Source organism: Homo sapiens, chromosome 10 (assembly GCF_000001405.40).
Source record: "Homo sapiens chromosome 10, GRCh38.p14 Primary Assembly".
NCBI classification, from domain to species: Eukaryota; Metazoa; Chordata; class Mammalia; order Primates; family Hominidae; genus Homo; species Homo sapiens.
Window position 1 is genome coordinate 90,852,016 of NC_000010.11, and position 19,796 is coordinate 90,871,811.

Sequence of the window (19,796 nt, forward strand, 5' to 3'; positions counted from 1 at the left end):
GGGTACGTCTTTATTAGCAGCATGAGAACAGACTAATACATTCAGTAAAAAAATAATGCTGGGCCGGGCATGATGGCTTATATCTGTAATCTCAGCACTTTGGGAGGCCAGGGTGGGAGAATTACTTGAGGCCGGGAGTTCAAGACCAGCCTGGGCAACATAGCGAGACTGTCTCTTTATGTGAAGTAAAAAAAAAAAAGTTTTTAATTTAAAAAAATAATAATGCTAATAGGCATCTAACTGGGCAGAAGAAAATGATCTCAGATGAAAATGTAGTAATGCAGAACAAAACAAAGAACAATGGAAAAGATAAACATGTAAGCAAAGAAGAATGAATACGGACTGTTACAACAATAAAAATAATATCTAATGGGTTTTAATAATCTGTAGACCTAAAATGAATGACAATAATAACATAAAAGGTGTGAGGGGATAGATAAAATTAAAATGTTCCAAAGTACCTTATTACCTAGGATTGTATTTCCCCAAAATAAATTTAAACATATCCACAAATGACTTGCACATAAATAAATGTTCAGAGCAGCACTATTAGAGATAGCCAGAAACTAGAAAAAAACTCAAATGTCCATCTACGGTGAATGGATAAGCAAATTATGGTATATTTATACAACGGAATACTACTTATCAATAAAAATGAATGAACCACTGATAGGCTAAAAACTACAGATGACTCTCACAGACATTATGTTGAGAAATAGAAGCCAGATTCAAAAGAGTACATACTATACAATTCCATTTATATGAAGTTCTAGCCAAGCAAAACCCCAATGCATGATGCTAATGTCAGGACAATGGTTCCCTTTGCAAGCAATAGAAACTAGAAAAGGAGAGGAGGGGACCTCTGGGAGGTTGCCAGTGTTCTATTTCTTAATATAGTTGTTTACATGGATGTGGAAATTCATCAAGCTTCATCCTTAGAATTGTGCACATACATATACTTTTCTATATGAATTTCAAAAAGTTTTAACAAATATTTCAGTCATACAAAAAGTTATACAAAGGATAATAAGTCTATATCCACCACCGAGATTAAGAAACAAAACATTACCAATATAGGTGATATATATACTACTGATTACACCACCACCCACCCCACCAGAGATAAATCACTGTCCTGAATTTGGCGTCAACCACTCCCTTGCACTATTTTATACTTTTACTCTTTCTACAAGCTTCCCTAAATGATATGTAAAACTATTTTTCATGTTTTAAAACTATGCATAAAAAGTAATTTGATTTCTTTTTTTTTTCTTTTTTTTTTTTTTTTAAGACAGTGCCTCACTCTATTGCCCAGGCTAGAGTGCAGTGGTGTAATCTTGGCTCGCTGCAGCCTCAACCTCCTGGGCCAAAGTGATCCTCCCACCTCAGCTTCCCAAGTAATTGAGAACACAGGCATTTGCCACCATGCCTGGCTTTTTTGTTTCTTTTCTTTTCTTTTTTTTTTTTCCGTAGAGATGGGAGTCTCCCTGTGTTGCCCAGGCTGGTCTTGAACTCCAGGGCTCCAGCAATCCTCCAGCCTCAGCCTCCCAAAGTGCTGGGATTACAGTTGTGAGTCACCACATCTGGCTGGTAATTTGATTTCTATTTTTAAAAGATCATTCTTAAATTAGCACAAGGGAACTTTCTTGGATGACAAGATATTCTATATCTTGATTAGAACATTAGTCACATAGGTATATATATTTGTCAACATACAAATTGAATATTTAAGATCTGTGCATGCCATTATATGTAAATTATCTCACTTTAAAAAGTTTCTAAATAGACCATTCTTGCTTCTTCTTAGGGAATAGCTCGGGGCTGGACAGAAGTGGAACCAGGAAAGCCAATTAGAATATTGCAGTAAACCTGATGAGCATCAAAGTCATCTATCTAAAGCGCAAGGAAGAAAAGACAACTTATGGATACAATTCTTTGAGCAGCTTAACTGTGAAGCAGAGCCGTGGCTGGAGGAAGAAGTGAGGCCAGAGGCCAAAGAAGGGTTTTAAAAGATAGAAAACCAAACTTGACACAGTAGAAAGGAAAAGCTGAAGAAAGACCATCAATAAGCTGGGCCTGGTGGCTCACGCCTGTAATCCCAGCATTTTGGGAGGCCGAGGTGGGCGGATCAGTTGATGTCATGAGTTTGCCAACATGGCAAAACCCCGTGTCTACTAAAATTCAAAAATTAGCCGGGTGTGGTGGCGTGCACCTGTAATCCTAGGTATTTGCAGGGGCTCAGGCACGAGAATCACCTGAACCCAGGAGGCGGAGGGTGCAGTGAGCAGAGATGGCACCACTGCACTCCAGCCTGGGTAACAGAGTGAGATTCTGTCCCCCTCCACCTCACTCCCCCCAAAAAAACAACAAAACAATAACAACAAAAAAGACCATCCATGAAGAAACAATAAAGGAACAAAGACCTTGAGAAGGTGGGGAGATGGAATATAAAGTCCAAGTAGTTTGGTATTTGCTGGCTCACAATGTCTTTTTGCTTTTTAACTGGAAAGAAGTAAAAAGAAGGGTACACATGCAGGACAGATCAGATTGTTTGGTGGGGGAAAGATAAAAGTTCTCATCTGATGGCTGCTACTTTTTCAATGAATACAAATCATTTTCTGAAAAAGACGGGATGGGAGCTCTGAAGCCTGTGAAAAACAGTATGGCATTACATTAGAAAAGCATCCCGGTGTGATGGGGAGTGGTTAAGAAAAATGAAAGGTTCCATTTTAGACAGGCTAAATGCCCAACAGATATCCAAACTCTCCAAATACACAAAAGCCTGTAATGAGCACAAAAGCAACAATATTGTAATTAATCTTTGATTATGCTGCACAAAGCACAGTGTAACCTATATTAGGTACTCAAGAGGGAATGAACAAGGGAATGAAGATTTTTTTTTTACATATTTTCACAGCACATTTAATATCATCTGTCATATTCTACAACGGAATTGCAGAAAACATGCTTTTCAGAAATAATATATTTTCCTTTTTTCTCATTTTTAGTTCTCAGTGTTCTTGGAAGAAAATCAGTCTGTGTCTTCCAATTTTATCAATTCTTCATTTTCTCTAAAGAAATGATATGCTGATCTTCTAAAATAATTTTTAAGCAGAATTCACCAATGGGGCAATTCTCATAGGTAAAAGGAGAATCTATATGCCTATGTTACCACAATTTGTGACAATCATAAGAATACAGTTAACAACAAAATCTTAAGCTCTTGCCAAGAAGGATTAATGTCTTCTCAGTATTCAGGACATGCCTGCCGATGCTAAGTCACACATGCACGCTGAGTGGAGAATGCCTTTAGCTCATGTATAGGAATCACAAGGTGATCTCAGCCAAACCTCAATGTAGCCCAGAAGAGGAGAAACACTGGCTGTCTTAGGAGACAAATTAGCACAAGGTATTATTTATGTATCATTTATCAACTGTGAAATTTTAAAAAATGGTTATAAATACAGTACTTGCAGCATAAACCGTTATTTGTTTTATTACACTAAGTTCCATTTAAAAGGACTCCATTCATGCAGGATGCTCTGTTTTGGTTGGCTGAGCAGTCAGATTTCTGTGCTTATAATTCATGTATACACTTACTATGTGTATTGAGTGCACTCTCCTAATTCCAGTTGCCACAGTCAGACTGTAAATACATATGTTTTGTCATTCTTAACTACTGTAATTCAGAACTTCAGCTGCCAAATTTGGTGCTAATATTCTCACATATGCAGTTCATGCTCTGCTCTTAAGTAATTCCTTGTTTGCTGTCAGCAGCTTCTACCATGATATATAAAATGGTAGAATCAATTTAAAGAAAAATAACCTAAATTGTTAGCTAAATGGAGCTACAATGTGTTTTTCTTCTTGAAAATATTCCCTTTTCTATTATTTCCTTTATTTAGTAATTATAAACCCTGGTCAAGCAAAAAATACATACAGCAGAACATTTTAAGTACCAGCAAACCACAAACAGCAGTGTTTTCAAGAAGAAAAAAAGGAAAATCTCAGTTTCATGCTAGACCATCCTTTGAGGCACTGTCATTTTAAGTGTGGAGGCATCAATTATTTCCCCTAGGCTGAAAGATCTACACATATAAAGGTTCTATAGATCCACTAAGAAAATAAGCAACCATTTCTCTGTATCATTAAACACAACAGGATACTAGTCTTGAAACACCGGCAAAATTCTGAGTGTGAATATTAAGGTCTCATATTTCAGTTTCAAGTGAAATAGAGTTGTTTTAGGCCAAAGAGGATTGAGACCATACTTCAAGTTGTCAACTGCATAATATTTCAAGGGTCAAAGACTAGCTCCATTTCAAAAGCCTGTAACCTTACAGCCTGAAGAAACCCTGTGGGTCTCCTAGTTCAATATGACACCCAAGGCAGGAATTTTTCCCCTAGCATCCCTGACAGATGGTCAGCCTCTGTTTCAATTACTCCAGTGGGGGAGTTCTCAAGAGAAGGTTCCCAAGGGCTATGATGAAAGGCTAGAACCAGCCATTCAGACCTGGAGGAAGGCTCCAGTCAGCAAGCTCGCAAGATACAGACAGCATTACCAAACATTGAAACCAGACTTCCACAAGCAAGAATGCGATTCCGAACTGACCATCATAAAGATGCAATGTGTAAGACATACAAACCCCAATTCTAGAACCATCCAAGGTCCTTTTACTGGCCTAGGGAGTAGCTCCCACAATGGGGTAAGCAAGGTGGCTTTTCTCCGACTTATTATTATTATTTTTTAATGACTCTTTAAGGCTCACAGCAAGGCTTGATCAAGTCAGGGAGCACCAAATCCCTTCCTTCCAAAAACCAAGGCAAGGGACCCGCTGGTGGAAATGCTAAGGCTTAAAATACTCTTAACTTTGGTCTTAAATTCGTCACTACAGTAAACCAGAACATTTCCGGTTTTTCTTTTAAAGATGTACATAGGCTATGCCGTAACCGAAGTTTGGTTGGTGTAGGGTGGATTGGGGGGAGCGGTGTTTTAAGCGCAGCCCTTCATCCCGCCTTGAAGTCTAGCTTGATCCTCCCAGGAAAGGCGAGCGCGCGGGGCTGAGCTGCCAGCCGGTCCCCAGCCGGAGCCTGGGACGGGGCGGTCCGGCCCTTACCTGTCAATGCTGATCACGCACAGGGTCATGATCGAGGCCGTGCAGCACATGACGTCCATGGCGATGAAGACATTACAGAAAAAGTGTCCAAAGATCCACTTGCCCCCGATGAGGTCGGTGACGCTGACGAAGGGCATGACCGCCACAGCCACCGAGAGGTCGGCCAGCGCCAGGGACACGATCAGGTAGTTGGAGGGCTGGCGGAGCTTCTTGACGAAGCACACGGAGATCACCACCAGGCAGTTGCCCGCGATCGTCAGCAGCGTGATGAGCGTCAGGATGGAGCCGATCACAACTTTCTCGACTCTGCCGTAGTTGATCTGTTCCCCACAGCCGGAGGCATTGTCCGGGGGCGCGTCCCAGGTGGGCGCCGGGCTGGCTGTCACCTCGCTCAGCAGGTGCGGCGCCCAGGAGCCCGCGACCGGGTCGGCGCCACCGTCGGGGCTCAAGTCGGGCAGCCCGCGCCCCACTTCTGGCAGAAGGAAAGAGCGGAGGTGCCCGTAGAGGTCCGGGCGGCCGCTGCTGTTAACGTCCATCATCGCGCCGCCGTGTGCCGCTGCCCATGGAGCCGGCGCCCCGGCCACGCGCCTCCGGCTGCCGGCCCCGGGGCTTCACCTCACCGGTTCCGCTCCGCCCGGCCCAGCCATGGGGCCCGCGCCGACCGCTGGGGGGCGCCTGGCTCTGTCTCGGAGCCCCGCACTCCCCGGACCCCCGGCCGCTGCGGGTAACGCGGCAGCGCGGCCTCACGGGGACTCCCTGCGGGAGGCGCTTCGGCCCCCGACGGACGCCTGGGACGCGCGGAGTCGAGGGAGCTCGGGCTGGGCTCCGCTGGCAGCTCCACAGTTCGCAGCAGCAGCTCGGCTGCGCCGAGAGCGCCCGGGCGGCAGCGGCAGAAGTTGCGGAGTGCGCCCCGCCCCTCGCGCCCGCCGCCGCCGCCGCCGCCGCCGCCGCTCCCCTGCGGCAGCCGCGCCGCGTCCCCGCCGCCGCCGCCTCCGGCCGCTGCCCGCTCCCTCGCGCTCCTGGGACGGGATACCCGGGCTGGGCAGGCACCGCCGCCTCTCCCGCGCCTCCCTACTGTGAGGGGGCGGCGCTGCACGCGCCTCCCGGGATCCCGGGTCCCCTCGCCCGGGAAGCTGTCCTTGCCGCATGATAGATACTTAGAACCCCTCCAGCCGACCCCAGCCTCCGCACACTAGTCAGCCACAGTTCAGTGGGGGCATTTTTCTTTTGTTAAGAGGCCTAATGAGCCAGCGGATGTTTGGGCTCATTGCGAAATGAAGAACCTAGAGGGGGATTTTATTTTTCTTAATTAAACAACAACCAAAAAAACGTCTCTGAGCACTACACTAAGCAACAAATAGGTACTTCCGTTTTCTATTTTGACCGCTTATGGGAAGAAGCGAAGATGGAAAAGAAGCAGCCGAATGGGGTGAGGGTGGGAGCTCCGAGAAGAGGAAGAAAGAAAAAAAGGAGGGAGGGGGATTCCTTAAGCCCCTGGCACCCAGGAGATGAGGATGCTCTGGGGACAAGGCCTCCAAGGGGGTTACACCCATTTGGACTAATCCTTCCTGGATGTCTAGAAACAGTCCTCTCCGCTCTGAAAATAGACCCTGATTGCCTTTATATTTAGACTTCAAAGCCTAATATATTGAAAAGAGAGTTAATTTTCCCGTAGCATTCTGGAAGTCTTACACATAAGCAAAGAAATGACCGGTTATACTCTTCTATAAAGGAATCCTGGAGGTGTATGTTGATTTAATACCTATTGGCTAAAATTCCCCTTGGTATCCAAACCCTGTCAGAGCGGCTGATTTTTATTATTTGTGAGACTTGCTTCATTCCATTTTGTTTGAAGGTTTCATTGGAAGCCAGCAGTGATTTCTGTAGTTTAAGACTCTAAAAATAATCAAATCTGTTTTTTCTTGTTAGGCCCTAGCGGATTATAAATAAGAAGAAAAGGAATAAAAACCTCAAAGTATATTGATCAGAGTGCTGAATAGTACTTTCATTCTTCAAGGTGGGTATTAGCTCTGTTTTTCCAGATAGGGAAGGTTGTTAGCTCTTGCAATCAGCTGGTAAGGAATAGTTATGTTTCAAACCCAAGTTTATCTGATTACTATGCCCATATTCTTCCCTGTACACATTCAGAAAAAGTTTTAATGGAAAAAAAAAAAAGCCCTAATGTTCACAGCTCTTTTGCTGTGATCAACATTTCAGAGGCTCCTCTCTGCCTAGGATAAGCAAACCAATCCATTGAGTCAGAGGAAGAGTTGAATATAATACCTAGGCCACAAAGCAATATTATCTAACAGTTAAGATGGATGAGGAAATTTCTTCAACCTTACTTATGTTAGTTATTCTCTGTTTCGCTTTTCTTGGTTTGTTATCTGTGGTGAACCACGGTCCGAAAATATTAAATGGAAATTTTCAGAAATAAACAATGTGTAAGTTGTCAATTGCACACTATTCTGAGTAGCGTGATGAAATCTCTATCTTACCCAGGATATGAATCATCCCTTGTCCAACATATCCACACTGTATATGCCATCCACCATTAGTCACTTAGTAGCCCTCTCTCTTACCAGATCAAAAAAAAAAACATAGTATATATACGATTGGGTACTATCCGGGGTTTTAGGCATCCACTGGGGATCTTGGGAGAGAGGAAATCTCAGACAAAAGACAAATAGTTTGTTGCTGGAATGCATCTAAGAAACCATTTGTTCACCCTTCAGTGCAGAGGAGGAAATAGAGGCTGGGAGAAATTTTATAACTTATCCAAGATCATATGTGACTGCATTGAAATGTCTCCATTTTTTTATTTTGAGGTTTGGAATTGTCTTAAGGTCTTTTAAAAATTCCTTCATGTAGTATATTCCCCAAGATACTTTTGATATTTTTTTCATTTTAACTTTTCAACTCATTTTAACTTATTTTGACTTTTGTATTCTTCCCCTTGAATACCCTAATCAGTTCAGCTTATATATTCTGTCTTGGCTCTGTCAAATAATATTCCAGAGTAATTACACACAGATTTTGAAAATTAATCATTTTATTTGTATTTAAACCTCTAGTCAATATGATTTACCACCTACACTCTTACAGCCCTCACGTAGCCCATTTATATTTCACAACAGCTTCTAGTTTTTGCTTTTGTCTTGTTTTAGTCCCTTTGGGATGCCATAACAAAAATATCATAGCCTGGGTGGCTTAACAACAAACATTTACCAAGAACAAGGCAACAGTAAATTTAGCCATGTTGCTGTGTCCTCACCTGGCAAAGGGGGTAGGAGAGCTCTCTGGGTCTCTCTTTCTTTTTTTTTTTTTTTTTTTTTTTTTTTGAGACAGGGTCTTGCTCTGTCACCCAGGCTGGAGTGCAGTGGCGCGATCTCGGCTCACTGCAACCTCAACCTCCCAGGTTCAAGCGATTCTTCTGCCTCAGCTTCCCAAGTAGCTGGGATTACAGGCACATGCCACCACACCTGCCTAATTTTTGTATTGTTTTTAGTAGGGACCGGGTTTCACCATGTTGGCCAGGCTGGCCTCAAACTCTTAACCTCAAGTGATCCGCCTGCCTCAGCCTCCCAAAGTGCTGAGATTACAGGCATGAGCCACCAAGCCTGGCCTGGGGTCCCTTTTATGAGGGTACTAATCCCATTCAGGAGGGTTCTGCCCTCATGACTTAATCATCTCCCTCTCCCATCTGACAAAGTCCTAATGTTCAGAATCTATAACTTAAATGAAGGAACAAGCAAGAAACAAATAACCCCATTAAAAAGTGGGCAAAGGACATGAACAGACACTTCTCGACAGAAGACATACAGGTGGCCAGCAAACATGAAAAAATGCTCATCATCCCTAACCATCAGAGAAAATGCAAATCAAAACCACAATGAGATACTCTCTCACACCTAATGCCACCACAATGGGGAGCAGGATTTCAACATACCAATTTTTTGGAGGAAACAAATGTTTATTCCATAACAACTTTTAAATTGTGTGACATATAAATACAGCAAATAATCATTAAAATACTATTTTTTAAATTACTACCTCCTTCATTGTCAATATAGCATCAAGTCCAAGCTCCCTTTTTTATAGAACAGTCACCTCTGTTATATTATCCCTAGTGATGGCTGAGTGTATTTCCTAAGAGTTGCTAGGTTTCTAATTTATAAGCTGTCACAATGCATAAACATAGTTATTGAAAATCTCGGCTTCTGCAGCATTACTTTGCTTATGTTGAGTTTAAATTTCATCTATCATTGTGTTATTCCAAAATCCTGACAGAGCAATCTGGAATTCTTTCAGTTTCCCTTTAACCTTCACTAACAAATAATTGTGTCCTCATAAAAATGCCAAAATCTAGTGTATACTTTTCTGTAATTTTCTCACAAAGAAATGCCAAAGATATAGCTTCACAAAATATTCATAAAATATCTAAATATTCATCTAAATTTGTTGTTTGTTCTGCCCTTAGTTTTCTGGTGTTTAAAAGCCATATCAAGGTGTTGCTTCCTTCTTCCCTCCCGCTGCCCACCCACTCTTCAACAGTTATACCAGAGACAGTAAGTAAAGTGTTGGCATCTAAATCAAATCATGTCTTTATTTTCTGTCCCTTTTATTCCTAGCATTTAAAAAAATTACTGCTTTTAAAAGTACTAATTCTTATCTAGACTCTCATTGCCTACAATAGCATTCTCATAAGATTGTCAGTGAGGGCACCTGAGAATACAGCTTTCTGAGGTTTCCAACTGGCAATCTGGCAATCTCCTGCTCTAAGAACTGCTCTCGGAGAGTGCAGAAGAGCTGTGGAGTCCTACATCATAGTTACTGTCTTTTTATCAGCCCTTCTTCCCTCTAGGTACTCATCTAGCTCATCTAAATGCATATGCGTAATCCCATCTATGAAAACCCACACATATCCCTCCACAGGACATAAGCTTAGGATAGTTTGTTTTCCCATAAACCTTCATACCCTGACAACCTAGATGTACTTTAAGAAGCACAAAAAAAGCTTCCTAAGCCATAGGGTTCATTGGCAACTCACTAGTCAGTCAAGCATGCTGATATCATGTCTATCGGGGGTCTGATGGCCTCCCATGCCCAGTGCAGCGGACTTCCACAGGGCCACTCTTTCATTTCTCCAAATTTTTCAGTCTCTCACATTTGTACCCCATTTCCTCACTCAACTAGACTAATTATCTGGGTGTCCCTTGCCCCCAGAATTGGGTGAGAAAAGACTAGGGAAACTAGAATGCTTAGACAGTGTAGTACTAAGAGTATTGTAAGTAAATATCCAGATACTACCCTGTGGCCTTTATTGGGGCTACAGATCACTAATACAGAGAACACACATGCTAGAGACAGGGACTCAAATCCATCAACACAGACATTTTTGAGGCCCAGTTAGGATAAAAGCAGTTAGTCTGGGACACCTGAATGTCTCCTTCTCAGTGACAGCACCCCTCGCCATAGTTAATTTCATTCTTTGTAGGCTTTTAAAGCACTTTTAAATTATATTTATTATAGTACTTACTGTTGCATTATGCTTCATATTTCCATGACTGTCTTCCCCATTAGACTGTGAACTTATCAAAGGGAGGGATATTTCCTTACTCCTGCCATATACTAGGTGTTCAATAAACATTAGTCAGTTGAACTGAGTGTAGAATAATGCCTATAACCAAGAATCATTCATGTTGTAAAGTAATTCTTCAGCCTAAAAGTGAATTGTGTTTTGTTTTAATTTAGACATACTAAAAATAAAAACATTTTTTCTTTGATTCTTTCCATTTAGAAAATTTTCATTCTCTTTACAAAATAAAGGTAACCTTTAAAAAGTTTCCTCCAAACAAGATAAATGAAAAATCAGACAACAGCTACATCCAAGAGCCCTTATTTATTTTATTAATCACTCAATTTTTCTTAACCAGGACTGTTTTCGAAATGTATGTGGTGCATGCATACCCCCTAGTGGGGAATCTATTCAGCAGCACAAATTCCACAGAGACAACTTTCATGGAAAGTTTTTATCAATGAACACATTTGACATTGTCAGCTCCCAATCCTTCCTGAAAGATTTCTAATGAGAAGAAAATTTAAATTCCTCAATTAAAAAATAGATTAAAGTAGCAATCATTCATTGAGTCAACATTAATTAATGAGTGTCTAATGCAAACCAGATATTGTTTTAGGAGCTCTGTTTTAAAAGGACACATTAAGTTTAAGATACTATTGGATTATTCAAGTGGAGATGTCAGCTATGCAGATACAATTTCAGGGGAAAATCTCCCAAGAGGAAAAGTAGTTACAGAAGAGTCCTGAGGATTTAACCGTGGGATGCACCAACATCCTGAGATCTTGGAGAGGAAAAGAAACCAACAAAGACTGAGAATGAGGGGGCAGTCAGGCAGGAGAAGAACCAAGAGAAATTGGATATTTAAAGTCAAGGAAAGAAAATGTTTCAAGGGGGTAGAAATTGACTGAGTTAAGTGCAAAGTAAGGCAAGAACTGTTTCAGTGCAATGGTAGGGGTAAAACAGATTGGAATGGATTCGAGAGATCAAAAGACAGAACATGGCAATTCAGAAGGTGGACAACTTTTGGAGTAGTTTTACTCAAAAGGGCAATCAGTAATTGGGGCAAAATCTAGAGAGATTTGTGGTATTTCAAGATAATCAAAATAGAAGTAAGGCTTTCATTGAAGAAGTGATAGGACACATCTTATTCTACAGTTTCTTTAGAATTTTATGAATCCTTCTATATTCAACAAAATGATATCTTAAAGTAAAATTACCATCACAGTCATATCCCATTTCTAGGAAAAACTATGCCTAATCCATTATTTTATTTGATTTGTTGCGACTTTTTTTCTCGAGATGGAGTCTCGCTCTATTGCCCAGGCTGGAGTGCAGTGGTGCGATCTTGGCTCATTGAAACTCTTCCTCCCGGGCTCAAGCACCTCTCCCTGCCTCAGCCTCCCAAGATGCTGGGATTACAGGCTCCTGCCACCACACCTGGCTAATTTTTGTATTTTTAAGTAGAGATGGGGTTTTGCCATGTTGGCCAGGCTGGTCTTGAACCACTGACCTCAGGTGATCCACCTGCCTTGACCTCCCAAAGTGTTGGGATTACAAGTGTGAGCCACTGCACCCAGCCTGATCCATTCTTTTAGTCATTCAATAAGCATGCCCTAGCTACATATTAATAGGCACTGTGCTAAGTGCTGGGGTCAATAAATAAGGCAGGTTCTCTGCTCTGCAGATGTTCATTGGTAGAAGAGACAGACGAGTAAATAATTACAGTACAATGTGAAAGTCTCCTAATATAGGTATGAACCAAAGGTATGAGAGCCCAGAGGAAAGAGGTATTAGCCCTGCTTGGAAAGACCAAAAAATTCACAGAGCTAACATATCAGCTCGAGTAGAAAGTTCATTAGAAGACTGAGGAAAGGAGAATGCAACGCTGACAGGGTCCATAAACACATGGAAGACTTGCCATAGCTGTGGAAAATGGCAAGGGTAGACCTTTGGGGAAGATCACAAAGAAACCTGTGTGCCATGCAAGGTAGGTATGAGTTTTACTCTGCGCAAGAAGGGTCACATTATTTTTCTAAAATAAGTTGTTGACTGACACTAATTGTTCAATAACACATTTAAATGTTTTTTCAAATACTTAAAAATCTAAAAATGATTCTTAGCTTGCGAGGCATACAAAAACAGGTGGCAAACCGGATTTCACCCATGGACCATAGTTTACTAATCTCCAATTTAGACTAATTACTGGCAAGATATTTGTAAAATTCTAGTGTTCCAATATTATCATTTTAAGTTCTCAATACAATGCACTGCTGTTCAAAAACTTCCTTTTGTAATTTTTATTCGCACTAGCAGTAGCAATTGAAAAAGGCAAATTAAGCAATATTATCATCAAGTCTAAAGGTTTAAATCAGAGTGTCTTTTTTGGATCATAGTCTTCGACTTCACAATTTGGTGCTGCAATAAAGGGTTAGTCCATAATTTTCATATCTGAAAACCAGTTTCAGTGCAAAAAATGGGCTAGATCATTCCTACCCAGATGAGTTTCCCAAAGATGTAATTTTGTTATATATGAATAAATCTGCTTATATGATTTTTTTAAGGGGCAGGGGTTATATCATCAACCACAAGAACCAAATCTTTGATTCAGCCATCACTGGTGAGCCAAGATGGATATTTTAACCTTGATGACATTAATAAGTAAATTTCTTTCAGCCGCTCAAAATTGAGTTCTCAACATCCACTGTAGCTATTTGGAGCATGAACTGTGTGGGCCATGGTTAGTGCCTTAGCTATTATTGGTATGGCTTTTAAATTTAGAGCTCAAAGTGGTTTCTTGTTAATGGTACAATAAATTGGCTTAAATTCTGTGTCTTGACAAAATCTTGTTACATCGTGCTTATATTTCATAAGTCTGATGGTAACACTGACCCCTACTGGAGTCCCATCCGTAGCCATGGTTACCAATTCTGAAAAGTGTACTTTAAAATTCTAAAAAAAACAAAAAACAAAAAAAAAAAAACCTCTTCTCCATACACAAAAATAAGCTACTTCCTAATGTGCCTTTTTGAAGCGCCATTTCCAAAAAAAATTTTTAGTCATTTCAAAATACTCTCCAACACAAATAGCTTTTAGGTTTCTATACACTTATCAGCTGCAACGAAAAAATGCCAGAAATAACTTAGGTTTTTTCATATAACTTGTCTTGCAAGCTCTAAGCCATATTTACAACATACTGAGCAGTAAAAGCTACAGATATTACATTTGTAAATGTTAGTTTCTGTTTAGGACTTGTGCTTTCTTTTGCCTCCAATAAACTTTCTTTTTAAACTTGCCTTTGATACAAAGTTTTTGTTGCCTGAGCAATTTTTTTTTCACTTAATATGTAAGCATTTCTAGACAGCATCACTGTGAAAGTTAATTTTATGTTTCAACTTGACTGGGCCATGGGGTGCACAGATATTTGGTCAAACATTATTCTGGGTGTGTCTGTGAGCATGTTTCTGGAGGAGATTGACATTTGAATAGGTAGACTGAGAAAAGCAGATTGCCCTCCCTAATGTGGGTGGGCCTCATCCAATCAGTTGAAGGCCTGAACAGAAAGCTGACTATCCCCTGAGAAAGGGAAGATTCCTTTGCCTGACTGCCTTTGATCTGGAACATCAGCTTTTCCCTGCCTTTGGACTCAAATTGAAATGTCAGCTCTTTCTTGAGCCAGCCTACCTGGAACTACACCATCAGCAATTCTGGTTCTCGGGCCTTTAGACTCAGACCGGAATGACACCATCAGCTGCCCTGGATCTCCAGCTTGCTGACTGCAGATCTTAGGACTTGTCAGCCTCCATAATCACTTGAGCTAATTCCTTAAAATAAATCTCTCTCTCGCTGTCACTCTACACACACACACACAAACACGTTGATTCTTTTTCTCTGGAGAATCCTAATACCATCATTTATTCTATTTGTTTTTCAAAAATCCTGTTGAAATTTCAGTCCTCTTCTTTACATTTAAGTCTATCATCATGCATCTTTTCCCTATACCAGTCATAATTCTTCCTTTGATTTCTTTCATAATGGCTCCTTAAATTGTATTTTTTTTAAAAAATCAGGCACACTTTACATCTTAAAGAGGTAGGACTACTCTTTATTTTCACAATCAAGCATGTTCTTATGCAAATTTTTGTAAATACAAGCCTACATCTGTCTCATTTTCCAATTTTTAATAGAAACATGAGTGTAAAAAAATTTCACTTTCATTTACCTGCACTTCAAAAGAAAACTAATATTGCAAGCAGGGGCAGATTACCCCAGCACAGAAAGTGGACAAATTTTTATGATATCAGGTCAGTAACAAGAGTTTCTGGGGGAAGGTAAGAAGATGAGGAAGGAATCACTGTGAGCTGTGAGCAGCTCCCTGGATTGGTGATGTCCTATGGAGTGCCACTAGAGTTCTAGGTTTAGCAATTAACCCCTCTGGTCTGCTTTATGAGGGCTTCTGGGAAAGGCTGGGCAGATGGTTCACTGCACAAACTTCCAGATATGTGATGAATAGGGCAACTGTAATATCAGCCTGGAGTTAAGGCATCTTCTTTTAGTCTCCCCAAGAGCTCCTATAAGTGTCCCACCATGTGGGACACAGAGGATGGTTCTGTTTCAGTTGCTGGTGTATCACACTAGTGCACCATGTGCACAGTTCAGTGAATTTCTGGCCAGGTGATTAAATAATACATCCAACAGTGCTACAATTCTGTTGATATGGGAACAAAGTCAAACAAGAGGCCATGAGTTCATTTATTCAATCAGTTACTTTTGGCTGAGTACCACCTACTTTGTGCCAGCTCTGGATATACCCTCAACACCCTAGATCTCTGTCTCATGTATGTTCCTCTTCCACTTCCATGTGTCAAAATTTAATTCAAGCATTACTCCCTCAAGGAAACTGCCATTTTTTCCCTTCAGATCTCCCAAACTTCCCTCTCAATCTGGGAGATAAATCTCTGCTTTGTGCTCCCAATACATCTGGCTAAATCATTTTATAATATGGTTTTCTTGCCTGGCTCCCCCTCGGCCTTAAGCTGCAAGAGGACAGGGGTTGGGTGGAGCATTTTTCAGTTCACTCAGGAGGGGTGAATGGAATAAACTTAGGATAAGGCCAAAGACTAATCAAGCACACACCCAAGCCCACACACAGCCCAGAAAAGAGAGCTCTTCTGGGAGGATGAGAAGGGCTCAATGATTGCGTTGGATGTGAAAAACCATCCTCTTTTTCTAGGCTTCCCGCAGAAGAAGAAATGACTCAAGAGCCATCCTATCTGAGCCCAGGACTTCTCCTTGATATAATGGGAATAACAATATCTCTCTCATTGGCTATTGTAAGGATCAAATCAGATAACTGATGTAAAATGCTTATCATAATTATACAGTACTTTTTTTTTTTTTTTGAGACGGAGTTTCACTCTTGTTGCCCAGGCTGGAGTGTAATGGTGCAATCTCTGCTCACTGTAACCTCTGCCTCCCAGGTTCAAGAAATTCTACTGCCTCAGCCTCCCAAGTAGCTAGGATTTTTAAGAGACAGGTCTCATTCTGTCACCCACACCAGGGTGCAGTGGTGCAATCCATAGCTCATTGTATAATAACATGGAACTCCTGGGCTCAAGGGATCCTCCCACCTCAGCCTCCCCAGTAATTCAGACTACAGGTGTGTGCCACCACTTCTGGCTAATTTATTTTTTGTAGAGACAGGGTCTCACTTTGTTGCCCACGCTAGTCGTGAATTGGCTTCAAGTGATTCTCCTGCCTCAGCCTCCCAAAGTGCTGGGATTACAGGTGTGAGCCACTGCTACCAGTCTTAAACAGTACTATTATCTTCCAGTCAGAAATTTCTATGGTCTTCTTCAAGGTGCAGATACTTGTTGCCACAGCCATCCCTTCAGGCCAACTTCTGACCCCTCTTCCCTGTTCATCTCCCCTATTCTGTCTTGTCTTTTTCTTCTCTCCACTTCTCTCTCCCCTCTTCCACTTCTTTCCTTTCCTTCCTTCTCCCTTCCTACTTCTCCTTTCCTCTACTCTCCTTCTCTCCTCTCTGGTCTCCCTTCTCTTCTTTTCTCTTCTTCTCCTCCTCCCTCCCAAACAACTCTAGTCTCTGCTTGCTTTGCTCAGGAAGCAGTACACTAGGCAAGAACTGAAACAAATTGCCTCCATCCACATGTAGTTCTACCACTAATAATGCCTTAGTTTTCTCAGATATAAAAAATGGATATTGATTTTAAAAACAAAATAACAAAAAGTAAAAAACAGTACTTCTGCAAGTCTAGATCTGAAAACAGTAATAAAACAAAAATAAAAAACAGCATTTAACACACAGCTGCTTTGAAAATAAGATACATACATAAGTACTTAGCAAATTCGCTGGCCCTCAGTATAGTGCTAAATACTGATTGTTATCTATTCCTATTCTTTCTTACCTCTTCTCTTCCTCTTCACCCAGGCTTAGGGTGCAGAGAAGAAAAGAAGTTTATATGGTACAGTCCACAGCAAAAGTTCTGTGACTTTCAAAGAAGCCCACTTTAGTCTCATACTAGCATCAGATAATTAAACAGTCTCCTAGCCACAGCAATTAGGCAAGAAAAAGAAATAAAAGACATCCAAATTGGAAAGGAGGAACTCAAATCATTACTGTTTGCAGACAACATGATCTTATACATGGAAAACCCTAAAGGCTCCCCCAAAAAAACTCCACCATTTAAAACTAGCAAGTAAATTCAGTGAAGTTGCAGGATACAAAATTGACATACAAAAAAACAGTAGCATTCTGTATGCTAATAGGGAACTATCTAAAAAGATCAAGAAAACAATTCCATTTACAATAGCTACAAAAAAAGATACCTAGGAATAAACTTAACCAAGAAGGTGAAAGATCTGTACAATAAAAAAAATTAAGGAAATAAAGATGACACAAATAAGTGAAAAGATATCCCATGTTCATGAACTGAAATAATATTGTTGAAGTAGACATACTATCCAGAACGATCTACAGATTCCATGCAATCCCTATGAAAATACCAATGACATTCCTCACAGAAATATTTTTTAAAATCCTGAAGTTTGTGTGGAACCACGAAAGTCCTCAAACAGCAAGAGCAGTCCTGAGCAAAAAGAGCAAAGCTGGAGATATCACAAAGCCTGACTTAAAAATATGCTACAAAGCTATAGTACCCAAAACAGCATGGTACTGGCAGAAAAACAGACACATAGACCAATAATGTAACAGAATAGAGAGACCAAAAATAAATGCATGCACCTATAGCCAACTGATTGGTATTGAGGGAGGGATTGAGGGAGGAGGATGGGGAGAGGTTGGTCAACAGGTACAAAGTTAGATAGGAGGAATAAGTTCTGATGTTGTATTGCACACAAGGTGACTATGGTTAACAGTAAGGTATTGTTTATATATCACGAAACAGCTAGAAGAGTTTTTTTTAATGTTATCACCAAAAATGCATGAGGTGATGAATATGCTAATTACCTTGATTTGTTCATTATACAACATATACATGTATCAGAACATGAAATTGTACCCTATAAATATGTATAATTACAATGTGTCAACTAAAAATGAAAAAATAATTGAACTATCACCTTATTCACCTTCACCACACATTGGTCATATTTCTGACCAATCTAGATTGTTATGGTCATAGGTGATGATGCCTGTGTGACCCTGCAAAATTAACACTAGATATTCTCATGAAAAACAAAGCGTTTGCTTCATATGACCTTATTCTATTTGCAGAAGTAATATTCTCTTCTACTCCCACTTAGGAAATATCAAGTACTGGAAAAGGCAAAATATCTCTTCTTTACAAAAGTTAACCAAGAAGAGAATTGCATGCTACTGCATGGAACAGATCCTTCCTCCCTTCTGAGACCGACAAGAAAATCGCATAAAGGAGTACTAGTTAAGGTGTGGTCCATAGACGAGAGACTATCTGTGAACTGTTTGTGATCAGTAAATAAGAGAAATTGATGGGTGAAGCATGTGGGTGGGCTCCTGTAATCACAGCTAGGAGAGAGGATTGCTTGCGTTAGAGTCCATCCTGGTCAATAACGAGATACTCTCTCTAAAAACAAAACAAAACGAAACGAAAACTCAGCAGGCCACCAACTAGGATACTCCCTAGGTCAAATGACCGAGCCTCTAATTCTGTGATTGTTGTTGCTGTGCGCACGTTAATAAAACAAACAAACAAACAAAAAGTGAAGATGTTTAGAAAGTTTACAGTACTTTGGCATTGTCCTGATAATCCAAGCTCCTGATCAGCAGATTCTATTCAGCCAGGTATAGGGCAGTTCGAGTGTTGTCAAATTTGTGATTCCCATGAGGCCAGGCTGCTTACTGGTAATGCATAAAGGACCACATCCTGGTTCGCGAAGAGTTTGGGGGTAGAGGAAAAGGAGGGAGAAACTGATCCTTCATCACAGGTAGTTTGAGAGCACTGATGTAAACTATAGTCACACTTTTGTAGTATAATTGATTATTATCCTCAATAGATCATTTACACTAAGTCGGAAAAAAGTGGAAACATCAGATATGTGGGATATGCGTCACCTTGTACATTTCTCAGCTGGAAAAGTGTAAAACATCTCAATTTTGCACCTCCCTTTTCAAACATGTCTTTGGCTAAATCAATGTTGGCTCTAACCGCTCGTCCTAGAGCGAGTCCCGCCATCTTGTGGTTGAAGATGTTGACTGCCACAGAGAATAGCGGGCTTTGACATCAACAGTTCTGATTGGGTAAAAAGACCCTCGTCTTGGGGTAGTTCTCTTTTGAAGTCCTAGAGTCCGTCACACACAAACGCCTTCTTCCCGGTAAGTCCATTGTAAACAACGGAATGGACTTTAGGGAAAGGAAAGGAAAACGTGTTCTTTAAGACTCTTTAAATAGCGTTTTCACCCATTAGCAGAATTCTCTGATTCATGAGCAGCACTAAGTAGATACCGTGTGCGTGCATTTTGAATGAATTCATTTCTACACTATTTTATAGGAGTATTGAATAGTTGGGAATTGGAACCCCTCCAGGGGGAACCAAACATTGTCGTTCAGAAGAAGACAAAGAGAGATTGAAATGAAGCTGTTGAT

The 19,796-nt window shown here is 40.8% G+C and overlaps 1 protein-coding gene across 3 annotated transcripts in view, besides 2 other annotated features; it reads right to left on the bottom strand.

Annotated features, from left to right (window-relative positions):
* HTR7 (5-hydroxytryptamine receptor 7) overlaps window positions 1-6,024 on the bottom strand; it is a 117,217-nt gene extending 111,193 nt beyond the window's left edge. For all 3 annotated transcript variants that reach the window (NM_000872.5, NM_019859.4, NM_019860.4), the window contains exon 1: window positions 5,118-6,024. In NM_000872.5, the coding sequence (NP_000863.1) occupies window positions 5,118-5,656 (539 nt within the window). In that variant the 5' untranslated portion in view covers window positions 5,657-6,024. The remainder of the gene's footprint in view (window positions 1-5,117) is intronic.
* Window positions 5,622-5,671: a silencer, noted in NCBI's record as "silent region_2600". NCBI's record gives its function as "represses an Ori minimal core promoter by ATAC-STARR-seq in GM12878 lymphoblastoid cells {active_cell/tissue: GM12878}" and the evidence as "EXISTENCE:reporter gene assay evidence [ECO:0000049][PMID:35858748]".
* Window positions 5,692-6,061: a silencer, noted in NCBI's record as "silent region_2601". NCBI's record gives its function as "represses an Ori minimal core promoter by ATAC-STARR-seq in GM12878 lymphoblastoid cells {active_cell/tissue: GM12878}" and the evidence as "EXISTENCE:reporter gene assay evidence [ECO:0000049][PMID:35858748]".